Source organism: Homo sapiens, chromosome 4 (assembly GCF_000001405.40).
Source record: "Homo sapiens chromosome 4, GRCh38.p14 Primary Assembly".
Lineage (NCBI taxonomy): Eukaryota > Metazoa > Chordata > Mammalia > Primates > Hominidae > Homo > Homo sapiens.
Window position 1 is genome coordinate 109161917 of NC_000004.12, and position 22759 is coordinate 109184675.

Consider the following 22759-nt stretch of genomic DNA (forward strand, 5'->3'; position numbering starts at 1 on the left):
AATCTCAGGCAACAGGTAACATCTAGTGAATCATTCGGCAGCGCACTGAACTTTCCTGTGTGGTCTCTGCCAGCCATTCCAACATCATGTCCAATGCTCTGCATATGGGGCCAGGAAAGTAATGTAGTATCAAGAACATAGAAAAGAACATGAGGACATTTTTAAGATAATATAGAATTCAATTCAAATTAGTGTAATATGGTGCAGTTGACATAAATACAGGCAATTGAAGATATAACAGGGGAAATATATCAGGAAAGGCTTCCCGTAGAAGGTTTTGCATCAGATTTTTAAGGAAGAAGAGGAGAAAGATTGGCTAGAAAGAGGCATAGGGCATTTTTGGTACATGCAAAGGCCCAAAAATAGAAATTAGCAAATCAAAGTCAGAGAACTGCAAGTAGTTGTAAGTGACTGGAGCAGGCAGATCATACTGGAGAGTGCTCAGAAATTAATTTGTTAAGGTCAGCAGTCTAATGCAGAAGAGCGAAAAGAAGTGGTGAAATCATCCAAGTGCCAGGCTGTATAGATTCTCAAGACACCTGCAACTACTGTCCATCAGCTTGTTTTGTTTCCTACATAGCAGTGTGACTCCCTAAAATCATTTTTATTTACCTACTTGGCTTTTGTTGGTCTCCCTAACTACAATGCAAGTTCCATGCACTGAGTTTGGGTTGCCAGGAGGAATGTCTAGAGTCAACGAGAGCACTTTAAAATGAGGTGGATAGTATGGGAGCTATAGAAATAAGAATGAGTGTGACTAACATGAATTAGATGGAAAGAGTCAAAGTTTACTGGACCGTAACAGCTGATTTACCTGCTATGCTACAGATGTGGCCTGAGAGGCACTGTCTGACAGAGACCGGCCTCACTGAACATGTGGGGAACTGGCATCCCAGCAGCTGCCTGAACATGCAGAAGAGTTAATGACCTCCTCTCCAGGGAGTGAATTTATTTTAACTAATGTGATTTTTACCTAATTTTTTAAAAAGGGAGCCAGTGGATAAGTCGTTCTCTCTTCCTCCCCTTGAGGCACTGTTCTGACATGCATTAGTTCCTATGTCCTCTCTGATGATGTGCTGTGAGACTGAGCCATCTTTGGGGTAATTCTTGTGAAGCTGCAGCTTGGTAAAGTTCACCTCCTTATGTTTGTTCAACAACCTTTCACCTCCCCTGCTTTGCTCCGTTTCCCCCTCACTTCTGCTTCCCTAGGTTTGTACTCCCCAGTAAAGTGCTAGGATGTTAAGCTTCTGACTCAGGCCATGTTTTCTGGGCATCCCAGGCTAAGACAAAAGCTATTCTACCTACTAAATGAAACTCAACCCAAGTACTTAGTGTGTTGATTTTCAACCTACGTGGTCAAATCCAGCAAGGTTTAGAGATGTGTACAGTGTTACTAAGTGGGTGGCACAGGCTTTACGTTGCCAGTTCATCTGCCCAAAATTGTTTCCACCAGATACAATGGCCTTTGCTGCAGCCATGTAAAAACTGTGCAGAGTTTTTTGGCCTATATGACTAGAGAATATGCAAGGTGGGACATGAAGGAACTGAGGACAAAAGAGAGGTAGGTTAGCAACACACAGAAAAGAAGCAACAGGGAAATGGAAGCAGACTAATTGCAGAAGATCAACCATTTCCCCCCAGCAGGAATTCCTGCTGCACAGGCTGCATGGCAGATTTTGGAAGCCTAAACAGCATGAATGGCTAAAGGTGTTTTCTGATGAATGAGGTTTTACTTCTTTGGCAGGTAACTGAAGTCTGACTTTGGGAACAAGAACACCTGGAAGTCAGCTCAGCTCTTGAACTACTCCCAATTCCTCATATCAGGTTCATTATGAGAAGCCACCTGTGCCTCTGCTCATCAAATCCTGCTGGTTTCTGGTTCTGATCTGTTGCAATGCACCAAAGAGTCATTTTTATTTACAAAAGTAAAATAAATAATTCATAAGGATTTCCTGACCCTTCAGCTTTGAGCCAATGTGAAATTGGTCTATGTTGATGATCACAGAATTGTAAATTGCTTCAACACTTCTGCTAAGTAATTACTTAATCCAAGTAGTAAAACCTGAGTAATATAAATTAACGAGTGGTATGGCTCAGTTTTAATTACTGAAAATTATGAATTACAAGGTTTTTTTTTTAAGAAGTGCTTATGGAAGAGAATGCTATGTATTCAACAAACTCTGCTTGCTTTTTCTCTTGGGCACACAATGGAATGCAGGCAGAAGTGGGCCTGGCTTGTGCACACAATGGAATGTAGGCAGAAGTAGGCCTGGCTTGTGCAAGAAACCTGGTATGCAAATCCTCCATGATTTTTTCCTTTTCCTATTCACTGCTTGATAAGAGAGGAAGACACAGCCCTGAAAGGAATTTAGCATAGTGAAACAATGAAAGAATCCTGGATCCCTAAAAGAATGCAGAGAAGAGACATCTCCTCTACCCTTATACCACCATCTCCCACATTGGAGATTGGAGTTTGACCTAATCAAGAAATACATTTGTTTGTTTGTTTGTTTGTTTGTTTGTTTGACCTAATCAAGAAATACATGTGTTTGTTTGTTGGTTGGTTGACTGGTTGGTTGGTTTTGTTTTTTAATGTTAAGAGACAGGATTTGAGGAAACTGTTGGTGTGAACAGTGTTGGTTACTCCAACTAGTGCAAGTTTGTAATTCAAACTAGGTTAGCAACATTCATTTAATCATTTACTTGATAAGAATCATTTATCTCGTGTTAATCTGTTCAAAAGTCCTGTAGGGTGCATGCTTTATAAAAGGATAGGACCAAATAAAATTATGCAAATTCATTTTATCAACTGGTTCTTCTATGTTATATGAGAATGTTTTTGTTCTTTTAAATATTTTAAGCATTTCCACAACAATTTGCTTTATGATATTGATTAACAATATGAAACTTCCAGCCCAGTCTATCTGAATAATCACAATTATATTTAGTTAGAAACACCACCACTTTCTTGCTTTTCTATAATTTGCTTATTACTAAGTCTGGTTGGATGTCTTGCAGAAATATGTTTCCCAAACCATTGAGCTCTACTTCATTCTGTGGTTTTAGACTCCATATCTGAATTCAGAGACATCTTCCAAATGTTTGCAACAAAAACTGTTACCTCCAAATAGAAAAACAACATATGATAATAGTCATGTAACATCCTTTGCACATAGAACTAGACTGTGTATTCTCTGAGTTATCAGAAATAAGAATTCAAGCACATATATTAACTCAAATTTAGGTTGTAAGCTTAATAGTTAATAATCAGGAAAGGGCGATTTAAATTTTTTTTAAGTTTTATAGCTTTCAAGCAGAATATGGACAGTGGTCACAAAGTCCTCATGCATGTAGGCTAAGAAAAAACTTCTTAGCTAACAGTCAAGACCTAAAATCAGTTATCGGGGTCATCTCTAATAATTTCCAAAAAAAGAAAATGGGCAAAATTAGAGCATACATATACAAAGATCTTTAAAGGGAATTTTGGACACTGTCCATTGTTTAAAAAATAATGAAGGGCCAGCCATGGTGGCTCACGTCTGTAATCCCAGCACTTTGGGAGGCTGAGTCAGGAGGCTCACTGGAGACCACGAGTTCGAGACCAGCCTGGGCAACATACTGAGACCCAGTCTCTACAAGAAATTTTAAAAGTTAGCTGTGTGTGGTGGGGCACACCTGTAATCCCAGCTACTTGGGAGGCTGAAGCAGGAGGATCACTTGAGCCTGGGAGGTTGAGGCTGCAGTGAGCTATGATCATGCCACTGCACTCCAGCCTGAGTGACAGAACAATACTGTCTCAAAAAAGATAATAATAATTAGTAGTCATGATGGTGTACACTAGTGAGAAAAAGTATAGTTCACATTAAGTGTATGCTATCTCCATAATATTAAGAACTTTTTAAGTAAATTAAGTGTAATTTTAAAATTGCATTAAGTACAGTTTCTAACTAGAAGAAGGCTTGTACATAAACAGTTGTTCAATATAAATGTTTATTGAGCTGAAATATCTTTAGTATCAAAAACATCTGGAATTACAACATTTAAAAATTCCAATTTTTTAAGCTCTTGCTTTAAAAAAATGACTTTTTTAGTTGAGATTTCCATTTTTCCTTTTTAAAATAACTTGCACTAAGAATAAAATTAGATCAATTTTTCTACTTAAAAGTCATACACATACTGTAGTGCCTGAATTTCAAATCAGTAGGGTTCAAACCAATGTAAGTTGTCTATGAGTGAGTGAAAGTGTGTGTATTTTTAGTTGCAACTTATAAGATGAGCTAAAGGTATTCCATGGCATATTCCAGATTTCCTACTGAATAACAAATGTATTCATCTAGCATGTCTAGTAGATCAATTGTCTCCATCTCCTTTCTTCCATCACTACTTATGCTTAAACATCCTTAAAGCTTTTCCTGTAAATACAGCTGGGATGAAGCTTCTTTCTGCCAATCTATTATTCTGTCACTTTCCTTCTTTTATGTCCTCAACCAAATAAGTGTCATTTTCCTGCTTTTATTTTGGCTGAGAATTCAACTGAATCAGTTTTCCAACAAATCTGGTGCATAGAATTCTAATTTTCCCTGTTACTTTTGCCTCCCAAACAAAAACAAGCCATCTACTGTGACTCTACTGTATTTGGAGTTGGAACAGGTGCTATGTCTTCCTAAGCCCCAAACATCAAAATAGTTGTGAAATGGGATTTGCACTCCACTGATCTGTGTAAAATCATAGCTAACAACAACGTATATTTACAATGAAAAGATTTCCTGGCACTGTGAGCACACAAGCCCTAGGAAGGTTTTAAATGTTGCACTTTGCCATTGTGTTTCTCTCTGGAAACTAATGCCAAATAATGCATTCATTGAGTATGAATCTAATATACAAATTAGAGCTTGTGACTAATGGGTTTTTCAAGAAGCGTGAAATTCCTTTTTGTAATTGCTGAGTGATAGACATTTCCACTGAATTTGATATTTCTACGAGAGTTTCTTTCATCCTAGTTAGTGACTGGAAAATCTGCAAGAGGAAAGTACTTATAGGGTGGTGGGAAAGATTCATGTAAATAATGTGCCTTTGAAGTTGGAGAGTTATTTTTAATAAAATTTCTAGAAAATGAATATGATCAATGAGGTCTTTGTTTAACAAATTTGCTTTTCTTGAATCTTATAAAATTGAGTGAAAATGAGAACATTGCCCTGTTAGACAAATGTTCGTGAGGGTATTAAATAAAAATCCTATAGGAATTTGTATAACATCTTAAGTAGGTTTAAATAATCCTTGAAGTTGAACCAGAAGTACATTTTATAAAACTCATCTTTCTCTCTCAAGAGTCCCATTCAGGATAACATGTGTGCAAATCCTAGGCAATATATGGCTGCAAAGTGAGGCAAGGGACACATCAAGAGTGAAGCCAAGTTCTTTCTGAGTTATGCCCTATAACTCCTCTGTATTTTGGTCTCTAATTCCACGTGTGTAATACAAAATGAAGAAATAAAGCTTTTTTTCTCTATGGCCTCTTGAATGAATGAACAATAAGTTTGAGAAATTCTAGGAAAAATACTTACTGTGCCAGGCATTGTTCTTAAAATGTATCATTATGACATTTCTCTCATTTTAGGGACAACCTTAGGATAATTACATTTGTAACTGTAATTGAAGTGATAAGATTTCACCCAGCTCTCTATTTTTCTAAAATCAGCTTCCCTTCTTCCCCACTTTCCCTCCCTACTTCTCTCTCCCTTGTTTTTGAGTTACTTCATGTACATTAGCTTGGGGCTGAACACTGTGTTAAGCTCTGGATAAAGCCCACTGACAAGATGAATGAGTCTCTTACAGTCTAGAAGAAAAGACTAGCATTGAACAAGTCAAAGGAAAAAAATGGAGAGGTATCAATGCTCTGGGGACAAATAACAGAAGACAATCTAGAGTGACACAAAAAACTCATCTATAATTTCAGATAGATGAGGGGAGGTGGGCCAATTAATGATTTCATGGAACTAGAGAAACAATTTTGTCAAAACTGTTTATCTTGGCCTCCATTCATGTATTTCCTTAATTCTGTAACCCAATCAATTTGGGTAGAAAGGGATAACAGTAATAGTTGGTTTTTTAGGTTGCCATTTATGAGGCTCCTAAGAAAGAATGATGAACTAAGACTTGAGAATCCAAATCTCTCACAATGGCTCATTGTTTCTTCTGAACAAGGTTCTGCATCTTGATGAAAAATTAAATGGAGCCGTGGCAATTCCTTGGCTAGGATTGTTTTCAAGGTTATGTGAAATTTTAGTATATCCCTCTGAACTCTTCCTCCACTGAAACCCTACATTCTTGCTTTCTATTCTGGCTTTAAAATCCTGATAAGTTTAAGTGAATTTATTAGATCATGCTCACCATCATGGACTGAAGAAATATTACCAAATAAATATGGAGATCAAAAGCAACTACCAGCAACAGAGTTGGGGTATTAGCTAGTACACTTTGTAAATGCAACGACTTTCTCTTGCTTTAGAGTTTCACCATAAGTTATGATTCTTCCTTTGACTTACAAATAGGAAAAGATAATTATTCCAGCTAATTTTATTGTATGCATTTTACACAGAAACATAAACAATCCTTAGAACACTCAGTCATAAAAGATTCACAAATTTATATTATTTATACTTTTCTAAACTCAAAATATACCGATGGAGTTCCAGTTCCCATTGACATATATGACTCTCAGGAGCTACTATATATCATATTAAAGTGTCCTTGCAGAGGTGCTCTTTCAGGGCCATGCCAAAAGTTTAATCTGGAACCAGACAAAACTAAACCAAGCTGTGACTCAAACTACTTCAGAATTGGATTCAGAAAGTATTATAGGCATCTAAATCCTAAGACTTATCCTAGAGAGAATAAAATGTTTTTAAACCAAATTTCTTAGAATCTTTTTATATCTCTTGATGTGAATTCATTGGAACATCCATATTTGCCATTTTGCATCCACACATCGAGCAGCTTAGCATTTCTCTGGGCATCTCTCACCCGCACTACTGCATGTACCTCTAGGCTACTCTCCACAACCTCTCCCTCCTCCACACTATGCAGAAAATTCCCATTAAAAATCTGATAATGTCCTCTTGTCTAAAAGCTTCCCCATGTGCCCCACACTCTACGGTATACATTTTAATTCTTTAACTTGGTAGAAGTGTCCTTATATAAATATATCCCCAAACTACGTCTCTAGCCTCAGCTACTGTTCCACTTCATTCACTCAGTGTGTCCTGACACATGCAATACCTCTTTTCTGCCCATATGTGCTCCTTGCTAAATCCTTCTGTACATACAATTTACTTTGCTTAAAATTCTCTACTCCTCCATTCTCTGCCTGGCAAACTTCCTAATCTAGCCTTCTCTAATGTAGCCAGGAATGATTAACAAAGTTGTCATGGTAATTTGTTCATCGGTGTTATGACACTTATTTGTGTGTCTTATGATATGACTCATATTTGTGTGTATTCCCTTTTCCTTCACTTGCTGTAGCTTACATAATCTTTGATGGCAAAGACCATGTCTTGATTATCCTTGTGTGTTTGCATATATCTATATCTCTATCACCTGTCTAATGCTTTATATAAGTGCTCAATGACAACTGGATAAATGATTTTTCTTAAGACATATTCAGACTGAATTGACCATTTAGGCTAAGTTGATCAGCCTCTACTGCAGCCCTAGAAATTTTAGTTTGACAAAATAGTCCAAATGAATCTATAAAAAAACTAATTTCCACTATAATATGGTTAATTGTATCTTTTCTTCAACTAATTTATTTGGATTTATATTTAAGTTTACTTAAAGTCACAGGAATATTTATTTTTCCTTCAAAAGGGAAAAGAGCAAAAGAAATAAATGAAAATATTTAAAATTTTCTTATTACACAGCCTGCATCTTTGCAACATATTGTTATACTGGTATTGTCTAATTAGCCACAAGAGTTACACAATTCAATATTTAAAATTCCATACTTACTGAAAACTATATTAGTTCATATATTCATTTATGTGAAAATGTATAATATATAATAAATGAATAAACATTCATATTAATTGTACAAGTCAAGAAAATAAATATTAAAAGGTTTGGTGTTTCTAGCTATGAACATTGGTTCAGACAAAAAATAATATGTCATAGAACTATTCTGACCTGAGGACATGTTCCATAAATTTTATTGAATCAATTTTCCATAGGAAAAATGCAAGCAAGGAGAAAATTAAACAGTATTCTATGTTTATTTTTCTGATATTTTATTTACTAAGGAGAAGAGATAATTCCCTAATAGGGAAGATGAAAATTACTGATAAAATTTTATTTATATGCTAAAAAAGTATAATTCTTGAAATAGGAAATCCATACCAGTCCTTCTAAAAACATTTTATGATAAGCAGCTTTCACCTCTTTTGTTTATTCAAATAGAGAACTGGATTTACTTCTGTTCGGTGCAGGCCATACAATCCACACATCTTTTCAGGAGTTTGAACACCAATATTCAGTGTGAACTCTTACTGTCTATGAATGCCTAAATGATCTTCTGATTAATAAAACAACAACAACAACAAATAAACAAAAAACCTGGCTCCTGGGTAGAAAAGAAAATCTGAACTTATTCTAACTCAATTCAGAGTACACGTGCCCATTGTATGCCCCCAAACGCGTGGATGGATAAGGAGATCATGAAATGGGCAGGTGGAGAGGAAGGAATAGAAGGAGAAATAAATGCATTTTCTTACTTGAACTCAGTAAGATTCCTTAAAATGAATAACACATAGTGGTATATTTACTTGCAAACAATCCTTTGCAGAAATAGCTTAGGTGTCATCCAAAGTTTTTAAACAATGAATCAGAATATATTCTCCCTCAATCCCGTTGTCCAGGTATGACATGGGATAGCTCCTGCAGACCTAAGGGACCCACATTGTGCTTCTATGACCATTTCACGTGGTGGTAGTTCCTGTGGGTATTGTCTGTTGCTTTCCAGTTCCTCTATCAACTGCAAATGTGTAGAGGCACTTCCCACAGGATGCAAGCTGCATGAGGGAAAGGACTTTATCTTTTTCACTTCTATATCCCTGGTCCCCTGCTCGGTACATTATTACTGATGGAATGAATGAATGTGAACCCTACCACCAAGACCTGTTATCCATTGAATCCTAGCCCTTCTATCCAGTGAAAGGTCACATGGGCAGAACTGGATGACTAAGAAGAAGCAAAAGGAGGCATCCCAGAGGCTCCAGCCAGAGGCATGCCAACTGAGAGTGCTGGGACTCTTATCCCAAAGTTCTCATTCCTTGTCTCACTTCATTGACTTATAAAGATTGAGTAAAAGAGACTATGCAATGGACTGAATAATTCTGACTCACCTCCCCATATTTCCAAATCCATATGTTGAAACCCTAATCCCAGTTTGATAGTATTTGAAGGTGGGGCCTTTCAGAGATAATTAGGTCATGAGGGTGGAATTCACATGAATGGGAATAGCACCCTTATAAGAAGAGGCCAAAAAACTAGCTAGCTAAGCAATAAGTGTTTGTTGCTTAAACCATCCAGATTATGGCATTTTGTTACAGCAACTCAAGCTAAGACACAGACTAATTTCATTTTTTCAAAATATAAAGTGAATGGTGTGAAATAAAAAGTGAAAATAAGAGGAGAAATATTAACAACTCTTCTATCACAGTTATTTGTCTTTCTCAGAGCTTTTCCAAGGTAAGTGCTGTATTTTATTCATCTTTGAATAGCCACTACTTTGACATAACACCTGACATGTAATTGGTGTTCAACATATGTTTGTAGAACAAATGACGGCCACACACCTTGAAATGCATGCAAATAAGATAATCCGTTTTCTACAGATGATGAATATCCAGGACACTTCTCGCATGAGCCCTCTAGTCCCTTGACTGTGCTCCCTAAGGTATCACTGATGTGAAGTCCAGGCCTTTGTTTAAAGACCAGTCTCCACAGAGAATATGGGTCTCTGTGCTGACACAGAGACAGAGATATCCCAGGGAATAAGGCCTAATGAGAAAATTTAATTAAGTGTTGCCCCTTCAAGGGGTTAGGACCTGATACAATCGTTCCAGGCATTTTAAGGTGTATATGTCCTGCAGGGCCACCTGAACCATCAGCTCTGGAAGCCTGAGATGAGGTAGGAGCAGTTTGCTTACTGAGCTCACTGAGAACACTTCCTTCTGCTTAAGCCTCTTTTTGCTTCTCCTTCCATCCACTGTTCAAAAATATGTGTTGCACCAGGCACTGTGCTAAGGGATGGGGATAACAAAAATAAATAATGCAGTTACAGTCTTTGCCCTTACAAAGTGCACTGCCAAGCAGGAGAAACAGATATTTAACCAAGCAGATACAAAAAATGCGATAAGATATAATCGAGGAAGAATAAGGTATTTGTCAAGAAGAGAATCCCAAGGGGTGGGAGTGGGAGGCAGAAAAGGCATCCCTGAGGCAGTAATGTCTAAGTTGGGACCTGAAGATGAATTTAATTTATTTAAGCCTTCCTACAAATCCATGTCCTGACCACAATCTGATCCTTCTTGCCTCCTGTGGGTCTAAGTGTCCTGCCTGTAGGACGATAATCCATCTTGATTATAATCCATCTTGATTATAATCCATCTTGATTATACCACTTTGCCACAAACCATTTCAATTCTGTAATGACTGAACTCTCTTTTGTCCTGTTAGGACGCTAAAATCTGAAATCCCTTTCTGAGGCCAAAATTTGAAAGTTTCTGTAATGCAATTCAGTTGAATAAACAGCATCCTAAAACCTCTTAAGCCTGAGAGTAGCAATACAATGTTCTGTGTGCCTTTAAAACAGCCACTCCTCCTTCTGTCAAGCCTTCACTTTATCTAAGTTGAATGGGAAAACAAATCAAATCCACATAATGGAAGATTCATCATGGGGTATGCAGTAACATGACTGGCTGGTCAACAAACTTGAGATGTTATACAAATACTACTTAAAATGTCATCTTTAAGCATTTCAAACATCTTAGGATTGATGACATTCTATCTAGCAGTTTGCAATGTAAAGAAGTTTGATCTTTAGAAAAGTACCATTAGAAGTTGCCAGGGTACTTCTTACAATTGGACATTATAGAAACCATACTTTAAGGTGTGAGGTTTTTGTGTGTGTGAGAGACAGGGTCTCACTCTGTCATGCAGGCTGGAGTCCAGTGGTGCAATCATAACTCACTGCAACCTTGAACTCCTGGGCTCACGTGATCCTCCCCTTTCAGACCCCTGAATAGCTAGGACTACAGGCACACACCACCACATCCAGCTAATTTAAAAAAAAAAATAGTAGAGATGAGGTCTCACTATATTGTCCAGGCTGGTCTCAAACACCTGGGCTCAAACAATGCTCCAGCCTCAGCCTCCCAAAGTGCTTGGATCACAGGTCAAGGAATTCTGATGTCCAAGATACTTCCTGATGAATTAAATGACCTTCAGTTAGATTCCTGACTGATATATTATGGGAAATCTTATTTTGAGTATATTAAATTGCATTGCATTAAAGAAGCATAAAATTTTATGGTATATAAGAATATGCAAAGTTATACTCTTTTTTTAATATGAAATTGATTACTTTTCTATGAGCTTCTCTATGAGTATTGCTTTTTCTATGAGCCACCAAATGGCAAATCTGAACTGGCAATAATACTAGTGTAAAAGAAATTTAATTACAGAAATTCTCACAGAATAAGAACTCAATTTGTTATATGTCAATAATTATATTCAGTTTAAAATAAGTCATTCATAAACTCAAAAACATAATTATTGTCAACTATAATTCTTATATATTCAGTACAGGCTGAGTATTATCTTATCCAAAATGCTTGAGACCATCAGTGAGGATTTGTATTTTTTTTTCTTTTGGATTTGAGAATATTTGCATTATACTTACCGGTTAAGCATCCCAGATTCAAAACTCCAAAATCTGAAATACTCCAATGAGTATTTCCTTTGAGCATCATCATGGCAGCACTCAAAACATTTTGGATTTTAGAGCACTTCAGATTTTGGATTTTTAGATTTGGGATGCTCAATCTATATGTCTATATTTTTTAATTGTATGAGTATTAAAAGCTAAATACTGAGAGAGGTGCTAGCCCATGGAAACCATAACCTTAAGGCTGCTTTCTAAATTCTGTCCATAGACTACAAGTAAAAATTTATCACCTTCAGAATCTCTGATATTTATGAGAAATGAATTCAGTTTTATACCTAAAAACATTAAAAGTCTGTGAATACAAGTAGCAACCGTGGTGTAAGGCCTAAAATAAAGCCCTATTGTAAATGTTGCCTTGACATGTGGTGAAATCAGGAGGGCCTCAAATGGCCAAACTGAAGCTCCCCCTCCCCATTCTGTCCTGACAGATAAAGTCCCCTAGCTAAACATTCCTTTTTATCACAGGGACCAGACACAGCTCCTGCTTATTCCTGAGTAGCACGTTTCAGTTCCCCACCAATCCACAGAATGTTTCAAGCAAGCCAATCACATCCTCCCACAGGAACCAGGGAGTACTCCACCCTCTTGACACTATGAAGCCTGCCTCTCACAGCCTTTGCTCATTGACATTGCTCCTGGGTGCAACCCCTCTGTGGCACTGCAGGGCATATGGAGTCCTCCTCCCCCAGCCATGAGAATAAGTGACTAGGAAACTGCTGTCAATGTCACCTGTCCCATGTTGCGTTATTGTGTGTTCCACCATCCCCAGAACTCCAGGGCAGGAATCTCTCCTTCATCAGTGGGGTAAAAGGAAGGCAATTAAAACAGCAACTTTATTGACTATTGAATGCAAAATTAAACACTCACCTTTTGTTCTTATAGACTAGGGGTCCTCAAAGCCAAGGCTGCAGACTACTACTGGTCCATGGCCTGTTAGGAACTGGGCCTCGCAGCAGGAAGCAAGCAGCAGGTGAGTGAGCATTACCGCCTGAGCTCTGCCTTCTGTCAGATCAGCAGTGGTAGTAGATTCTCATAGGAACATGAACCCTATTGTGAACTGCGCTTGTGAGGGATCTAGGTTGTGCACTCCTTATAAGAACCTAACTAATGCCTGGTGATCTGAGGTGGAATAGTTTTGTGCCCAAACCATTGCCCACCCACTCCCATCTGTGTAAAAGTTGTCTTCCATGAAACTGGCCCCTGGTGCCAAAAAGGTTGGGGACCTCTGTTATAGACCATCATTTCAGTTGAGTATTTAGCTCTACTGCCAGAAAAGGATATGGAAGGTTCTAGGGGCTTCTACTCATGGCCAAGGTCATAAAAAATGACATCGAGTTTCTAGCATTACAAAGCAAATAGTTTGTGCCAAACCCAAACCTGCGTTTTTATGCAGTTAATATATTTTGATTTGAACACTGGGGCCCTGAGAGTGAATCTATACCACTCAATGAATATTCCACAAAGTAATCATTATTAACCAACTTTAACTAGTGTACATTAGCATAGGTTTTGAGGAATCTTGTTCCACTGAACCACAATATTGGGGAACTACACAGCATTCCAATAAGAGTTCTTCATATAAAACACAATTGTGATTATGTGTTAAAAACATGTTACTTTTCCCCCTCACTGTTTTCATGATTAAATGTTTCTCTACTGGTACATTAAGTCAATTTACTCAAATATTCATAAAACATGAGATTTTATTTATCCATCTTTCCCAAAAATTTAATTTTTAGGAATAGTTTTAATTGTTCAGCGAATAAAATATTTCAATATCTATTGAACTTTTAGCCATTCAATAGATACATCTAAGCCACACAAAATGCCATAGTAGAGTTGAAAATACAGGTCAAGTCCTGTCTAATGAAGACATACAGATGTCTAGTTGTAACTAATAAGATTTTTCCTGCATCTTTATGAGGCCCATGGTATTGGTATTTTCTAGTTCATTTAAAATTATTTTTAGCTTATACTTTATGACCTAGCAAATGTCTTTTCCAGTAAGAGTTAAACCTTAACTTATAGTGAAGAATGTTGTTTGATACAACTGCATTAGAGAATTGTATAATAGACCATAAATGTTCAAAAAGTTCTAATTGCCATACCGTCATTCATCTATTCAGCACACATTTATCAGACACCTACCAGGGCCACCCATTGATGCTACAAAGATAAACTATACAATCCCTGTCCTCAAGGAGCTCACATAAAAGCTAGAGAGGGCACTTTGGGAGGCTGAGGTGGGCAGATCACGAGGTCAGGAGATCAAGACCATCCTGGCCAACATGGTGAAACCCTGTCTCTACTAAAATACAAAAAATTAACCAGGCATGGTGGTGCATACTTGTAGTCCCAGCTACTCAGGAGGCTGAGGCAGGGGAATCGCTTGAACCTGGGAGGTGGAGATTGCAGTGAGCCAAGATCGCACCACTGCACTCCAGCCTGGTGACAGAGTGAGACTCTGCCTCAAAAGAAAAACAAAGCTAGAGATGAGACTTGGCTTAAAAGAGTGGAGGATAGGATCCAGGGAGAACACTGATAATTGATTATTCTCCCAAAAACTAGAAAGGGTCAGCAAATACAGATTAGGGTGAAAAGAAAAAGTGAAAACGAGAAAGTTCCAAGAAAAAGAGTAGAGTGCTGAATGAGTTAAGATAACCTAAGGGTGGTATATTGGGTAGAACTCTGGTCCCCAAAAAGATATGTCCAAGCCCTAGTCCCCAGTACCTGTGAACATGACCTGATTTGAAAAAAGGATCTTTGCAGATGTAATTAAGTGAAAGATCTCAAGATGAGATCATTCTGGATTAACCAGGTGCCTCAAATTCAAAGACAAGTTTCTTTAAAATAAAAGGAAAAGACACAGACAGAAGAGGAGGAACATAGAGGAGAAGGCCACGTGAAGAGAGAGGCAGAGGCAGGAGCTCCACAAGGCCAAGGATCACCTGGAGCTACAAGAAGCTGGAAAACCCAAGGCCAGATCTCCCCTAGAGTTCAGAAGGAACATGGTGCTGCTGACACCCTGACTGTAGACTGCTGGCCTCCAGAATTGTGAAAGGATACATTTAATTTGTGTTAAGCCACCGAGTTTGTGGTAATTTGTTACAGAAGCCCTAGGAATCTAATATAGGTGGGGTACCTGAGAGGGATTTCCTAGTCTAGGAATGAATAGCAGGAAGGAATATGCAAACACACAAAATCAAGTTTCTAAATTGGAAAATAATATTCTTGTCTCTGAAGACAAAAAAGATGGAACATGGTAGAGTCTGTATTGGCCTAGATCAGAAGCCCCATCTGTCGTTGCCTAGTTGCGTCATTGGACACACTCCTTTCAGAGTCTCAATTTCATTGTCTGTAGAGTGAGGGGGACTGACAAAGAGTAAGCTGAGAGTTAAAACGTAGTGTAAACAAAACCTAAACAACAGCATAAAGAACCACCCACTCATCACTGCATTTGGGGAATGTTGGTAAAAAGCTCTACTCAAAAACAAACATTAAAATGGAATATCTTGCGTTACTCCAGGGACAAAAGCGAGCTACAAAACTTTTATTCTGACAGGTCTCCTCCTTGAACCAGCCCCCACCCCAGACCCTATTCCTTCATTTTGATGCTGAACTTTTAGACCAAATACAGTGGGCACCATCTGCTATCAATACAGCCTATACTCTTCCCAGCCAAGATGAGTTCCAGGCCAAGTTTATCTTGTGAGTTAACAGGAGGTGACAAGCCTGGCAGGACACAAATTCTCCCTGCATGATTGATGCAGCCTGGCTGACCAGCTCCATGCTAATGAGGATGTGCCAGGACTCCCAACAAAAACATTTTTGAATAATTTAAAACGAAAGCATAAATTGCCAGGTAATGTGATTCATTGTGTAAGTATAGCTCCAGTTAAATTTGCGTTTAGGGGTGCCTCTATAGCAAACATCAGTTGACTGCAAACTGCCTGTTAGCAAAATTAACCATATAAATATTGCAAAAGAGCAGAGAGACATGTTAATCTTGTGAGGGAAGACAGTGAAGATAAAGTGTTTCAAATGCAATACTTCTAAATGAATAAGAGAATTAAACATGAGTAGAATATCTATTTTCGTCCATTATAATAGGTTTAAGTACAAACTGATACCATTTCTGGGGAATTGACTTTAATTTCTTGCCCTAATTCAGTTATCTACTTAAATAAGTTTAAATAAGTTTCTTTTTCCTTTTCTGGCAGTTTATGGCCCCTCCTATATACATCCTTATGCCAATCATTCAAATAAGGTGTAACAAACATCTGAAGCATTCCTTAAAAGAGGGAATTGCCAAATACATTTCGCCTAAAGAATCAAAATGCTAAAAACATTTTCAACTACGTTGGGTAAGGATTTATTAAGTATGGGCCCATACTTTTTTAAAACATTGTCCTTTTAACCTGAACATTGGAGAGTTAAGAGAAAAATAATAATAGCCAGATTTTTCCATCCAGTGGGAGCCTTGTACAGAAAGAGCACTTGAACTAAATGTGGAGCCAAATAATTTAGGTATACATTTGACCTTGAATTTGTTAGCTACAATGAGGCTGAGGACAAACTATCTGATCTCTGTAAGCCTCAGTTTTCTCATCTAAAAAATGGATTTCAGCCAGGCACGGTGGCTCACGCCTGTAATCCCAGCACTTTCGGAGGCCGAGGCGGGCAGATCGTGAAGTCAGGAGATTGAGACTATCCTGGCTAACATGGTGAAACCCCGTCTCTACTAAAAATACAAAACAAAACAAAAAAATTAGCCAGGTGTGGTGGCGGGCGCCTGTAGGCCCAGCTACTCAGGAAGCTGAGGCAGGAGAATGGCGTGAACCCAGGAGGCAGACCTTGCAGTGAGCTGAGATTGCGCCACTGCACTCCAGCCTGGGCAACAGAGCAAGACTCCATCTCCAAAAAAAAAAAAAAAAAAAAAAAAATGGATTTCATATCACCTAGCCAATCTGCTTCACATGAATTTTGAGACTCAAACCAAATGGAATAGTGTATATAAAAGCGCCTTTGTGACATAAAGCCTCAATAGCACTGTAGAATATTAATCACTCAAACAAGTAGGAATATATTCATTTAAGCAAATGTTAGACTAGCATTTTTAAAATGAAAAAAAAAAAAGTTGTCCTAAAATGTTTTTCCAAGTTTCATCTGCCACCAGGGACATGAATTCAGGAAATCTTATCCTCAACTTCCTAGTCTGGAGGCACAGCAATGACAGGAGGAGCTTCAAGGTGACGGTCACCACCTGTGTTCCACTCTATTAAATCAACATCTCTGAGATGCCTCCAAGCTGGCAAGAGAAGCACATCCACTATTGAGTCCCAGCCTTCCTTGCAACCTGCCTTAACTGTCCTCACCTCCCCCCACTGCACCTGACACAACAGCTGTTTGGGCAGCTCCCACCAGAGCTGCTGATTTCAAAGCCCTGTACCGTTCAACTATGCATGTCCATCCCATCCTGTTACACCATGGTCATCTGAGACTTCTAATATGCATTCGTGATCCTAAACACTTGCTCCTCATTCAATTTTTTTGGATTTCAGAAACCAAACCCCCTGTTAGAAACCTTGTATGTTAGGATAGAGAAAGGTAATTCCCATGTGAATATACAATCATCTATCTCAATTTGTTTTAAAAATCTTATTATTTGAAATAACCAGTCACAAAACACTTAAACACCTGTCTTATTGATTACTTTCTGTGTTATAAAGCTGTCTTTTTTCAGATCTTCCACAAAACCAAACTTGAACTTCTTGAAGCTGTATTTTTCTTAATGTGGTCTTCTGTACAGTTTGAAAACTTGGAAACTTACTAGAAGTGTTCATCAAAATGTTGCTTTATTTTTAAGTAGAGGTTTAGAGAGTTCTGTGTATGTTTCTTGTTATTTAATCAACAATTAAAACTTAATGACAAAATGCTTCACATATGAAATCAATAGGGATTTTCCATGAGCAAAGACTGTAAAATCAGCCTATTATGAAGAGATTTGCATATTTTAATTATTGTGTTCTAGGGCTTTTGTCAAATAGATGCCTCAGTGCAGTAAGCACCATGTGGTTTGGGTAAAATGTTAACACTCTGCTTCTAGTATACATCAATGTTGTTAGAAGCATAAATATGTTAAAATGGAAATACGTCTGGTTAGAGTGAAGCCTTCATTTTAATGCATGTGTTTATTATCTTGCTCTCAGAGTTTATTTGGAGAAGAAGAAATTTAGGAAGATTAAAATGTAAATAAACTGCTTGTAGAGGTCAAGTTAATTAGTAAATACACACAAATGACCATAACATAAGACCTTTGGCAACACTGCCAAAGTAGCCTCAAAACACAAAGCTGATTACTGAAATAATTTTGACTCTGAAGTGCAGATAACAAGTTAAATGCATAAAAATTCAGGTTTTTATTTCTCTATCTCTGACAACTAGTTATTTTAAAACTCTAAAGGATAGTAAAGTTTATTCATTTATTTATTTACTCATTTAAATATTATTATAGAGAGTTGGACAAGCTACCTAACCTCTCTTTGCTTCTGTTTTCTAGTCTGTAAAATGGGGCTAAAAGTTGTATCTATTGCACAGGATTGCTGTAATAATTAAATGAATTACTGGATAAAAAATACTTAGAATAGCACCTGTTACAGATGATGATGGTGGTGATAACGATGATGATTATATAAGGGCTTTCAGAATTCAAATATATTTTTTAAAAACCAAAAATTTATATTAAGATTTATAATATCCATTAAGTTTATAGATTTCCATTAAGTTTATAAAATAAGCTTCAAACCTACAGTTTTGAGGCTTGAAGGAAGAGTCCATTGAAATAATGTCAGAAAGGGCTGCAATTTTAGAAAATAAAAGCAGCTTTTGCAAGTTACTCACATTTTCAATGAAAAGATTAAATATTCATTGGCTAATTATTTAGTATTTATAAAACACAATATTAAAACATGATTTGATTCATGTTTGTGACATTTCTAGAGATATATCTTTTTTCTGAAGAAGAGGTAGAATCAAATATATAATGTCATAATTCCTGACACCAATATCACCTATGCAATGCAAGTTTGCATGAAGACATTTGTGGAGGTCTGCATTGAGCAAAGTGGGCTCTGTCCATCAGGAAGCACTTTCTCACTGAGCTTCAGTGTCATTAAATTACAGCACTCCTAAAAACACATTTTTAAAGCTTTTCACAAGCCCACCAAGTTTCTGATAGCCTGTTCTACTTTATGTTAATCCTCTGGTTCTAGAATTTTATATGTATATGATTGGGGTGGGGTGGAGGAGACTCCCTTGAGGATCTGAAAAAGCTATGGATCATCTCCCTGAAAATTCACTTACACGTATCTTTTACATTCAACTTCAGGGACTTCATGGACCAGAGTTCCATCCATAGAACTCACTATTCTAAATGGCGACTATTTGATTTTACCCTGAAATTAAATTTAATATTTCAGTAAAACATCATATGCCCATATGAAATACAGATGAAATTAATTAACACAGATTTAATTTCTATGTAAAGATATCAGATTATATGGTTATATATATTTAAAAATATTGCTGTGTATCTTTTGAAAGTAAAGAACAATAGCTAAATTTCCAAACAATATACCGTATTAGTTTTTAAATTTTTCAAATTGACAGATAAAAATTATGCAAATGTTTTGATGTACAAATGATGTTTTGAAATGTGAATATACTATGGAATGGCTAAATTGAGCTAATAATTAACAAATGTATTACCTCACATACTTATTTTGCTTTGATGAGAACACTTAAAATCTACTCTCAGCAATTTTCAGGTATGTAATACATTGTTATTAACTATAGTCACCATGTTGTATAATATATCCCTTGAACTTTTCCTCCCTTCAGCTGAAATTTTATACCCTTTGACCAACATCTCCCCAATCCCCTCCTGCCCCTAGCCCTTGATAACCACCATCCTACTCTCTGTTTCTATGAGTTCAACTTTTTCAGATTCGACATGTAAGTGAGATCACAAGGTATTTGTCTTTCTGTGCCTGCATTATTTCACTTAACATAATGTTTTCCAGGTTCATTTATGTTGCCACAAATGCCGAATTTCCTCCTTTTTATAGGCTGAATAGAATCTCATTGTGTATATAGGCCACATTTTCCCTATCCAGTTATCCATTGACAGACACTTAAGTTGATTCCATATTTTGGCTATTGCAAGTAATGCTGAGATGAACATGGAAATGCAGATATCTTTATGAGGTGGTGATTTTCTTTCCTTTGGTGTACACTCAGCAGTGGGATTGCTGAATTATGTGGTAGTTTGACTTAATTTTTTGAGGAACCTCCACACTGTTTTCCACAATGGCTGTTTTCCATAATGCCAAAATTTATATTGCCACCAACTCCGTACCATTTTCATGGCTGTTTGTTATTGTTTTCAATTGTGTAAAGAACAGAGCAGGAAGCATGTCAAGAGAGTCTATTCATTACTAAGGAAGGCAAAGGGTAAACTACAGTATGATTATATTGATCCCATCAGCTACATAATAGTATTTGAATAAGATATCCTTCATTTAAAAATATGTAAGTGTTTAAAAGTATAACATTTAGTAAACATGGTAAAGGTTTCAGCAATCTTCTGGTGAATAGGTACTCTTGACATCTCACATCTGTTCCAACAGAGTACTAAAGAGCCAGGAACGCCCAGGTAAGAGCTGAAAACAAAATTCATTTAGATAGCACTACATAAAATTTATATAATCTTCCTATTAAACAAAACTGCGATGACAGACATTTAACATTCCCTCACTTTATGCGTAAGTGACTGAGGTCACATCACAAGACCATTAGAATTAGAGGCAGATATAGAGCCCTGGTGTCTACCCCAGCAGGTGTTAGGATAAATTACACTTGCAGCCTGAGAACTTTTGATGCTACAATATAAGGGGAAAAAAGGTTTCCTATTAACCTTTCAAGTTTCAAGCTGCTTTTCTGAGAACAATAGAGGTCATAGCACACACACACACAAAGAATCAGCTTTGCTTTATCAAAATCCTTTTTGTTCCCACTTCACTGCTCATTATTCTTCCAATCTTTTTACCGAGGCATCAGAAATATTTTAAACTAGGATTAGCCTAGTTACTTTAGTTACATGCAACCCTTAGAACTATAATGTATTAGCCATATATGACATTAACCTCAGTAATATAGTGTCAGAGAGAGAAGCCTCCCACCCCATCCATGTCCACAAACACATTAAAGGAAATTTTAAATTAAATTAACCCAACCAGCATCTCCACCAGCATCCTGATGATATAATATCAAAGACTCTGATGCTTTGCTCCCATACCCACCTGCCAAAAATCTACAAAGGAGAAAAAAGAGAAGACAATGAAAAAAGAGAAAAACTGAAGACAAAAAGTTTGGACCCATACCAAATGATGAACACATAACAATTTAATAGATTATCACACCTCAACCCTCAGGAGCAAACAACAAGCACTTTTGTGATTCATGAGAAAAATGCAAAGACTTTTATTTCATTTTACAAGCTTGCCTGACTTATCTGTGCTTTTCTCTTTCTTCTTCCCATACTCCAAGTGATTTCAAATCTAGGAGGTAATTTTTAAATTGATTTGTAGATGTAGCAAGTGCAGTATTTTATCTTTGTATAGATCAAGAACTATAACGAGGTATTTCAGATTTCTGGGGCATCTTGAAAACATTAGAAATGATTAATGTGAAAAAATGCTACCAACTATAAAGCATTCTTTATCATTAGAAATAAATGATAAACCTAAAGGCAAACTTTATGAGAGAGGCACAACACGTATGCCCGTATGTGCATTTCCCTGGCTGGCTTTTAATAATAGCTAAAATATTGATAATAGCATCATGATTTCCAGTGTCCAAGTTGAAAGGTAAAGAATAAACTGATGTTTAAACTTAAAATATTTATGAAGCCCATATTACTTATACCTTTAAAACACACACCAACTTCAAAAAAAAAAAAAAAAAAGATTGGGCTCCAGAAACTCTTTCAAAGGTCCTTTCACAACTCTCTTTGAGGCCTGCTTCATGAAAAAAATGCTGTTGTCCAAAATTTTTCAGCTTGGAGAATACAATGTTGTTATTGTCTTCCATTTCAGAGGTAGGAAAGCATACATTAGTTTTCTTGGCTCTAGGTTTCCATGACTGAGCAAGGATATGGCTTTGTTCCAGATAGCAGTTTTCAAGGAATTTTGCTTACAAGGAAGTGCTAAACCAGGCACTTTAATTAACATTCATATTTACTTTGTTGCTAAATGAAGGTAAAGATTCTGTTGGCATAGATGAACTCTCACTCCCATAAATCTAAAATCCCTCTAGAGGATTCTGCTCTGGGAAGAGAGTAAGATGCATTAACACTCCATTAATATCTTCCTTGGAAACATTCTTTCTAACATTTATCTCTTCATCATTTCCTGAATCTGTAATGAAATGCTTGTGCTGGCATCTAACAAAAGGATCATGTCCAGGGCCTAACGAAGTGTTAGACACCAAGGTAAGACGCAAGCCGGCTGCACTGGCTCCTAGTGTCGGATACACAATGGTACTTTCTAGACTATATTTAGCTCCAAAGTGATGGTCAGTAGCCCTAGGACTTAAGGCACAGTCTGAAAGAACTTCAAGTTCCAGGGCTGCCAGAACAAGTTAATCAGAGTTCTATTTTCTAGGTCCTAAGCCAGACACTGAGGTAATTTCCATCTGGAC

The 22759-nt window shown here is 37.1% G+C and overlaps 1 protein-coding gene across 10 annotated transcripts in view, besides 2 other annotated features; it reads right to left on the bottom strand.

Moving 5' to 3' along the window:
* The window catches only part of COL25A1 (collagen type XXV alpha 1 chain), a 493934-nt gene that overhangs the window by 353192 nt on the left and 117983 nt on the right, over window positions 1-22759 (bottom strand). The gene's annotated exons all lie outside the window — the stretch shown is intronic.
* Window positions 12337-12631: a silencer, noted in NCBI's record as "tiled region #12117; HepG2 Repressive non-DNase unmatched - State 24:Quies". NCBI's record gives its function as "weakly represses a minimal TATA promoter and a strong SV40 promoter by Sharpr-MPRA in HepG2 cells {active_cell/tissue: HepG2}" and the evidence as "EXISTENCE:reporter gene assay evidence [ECO:0000049][PMID:27701403]".
* Window positions 12337-12631: an enhancer, noted in NCBI's record as "tiled region #12117; K562 Activating DNase matched - State 5:Enh". NCBI's record gives its function as "activates a minimal TATA promoter and a strong SV40 promoter by Sharpr-MPRA in K562 cells {active_cell/tissue: K562}" and the evidence as "EXISTENCE:reporter gene assay evidence [ECO:0000049][PMID:27701403]".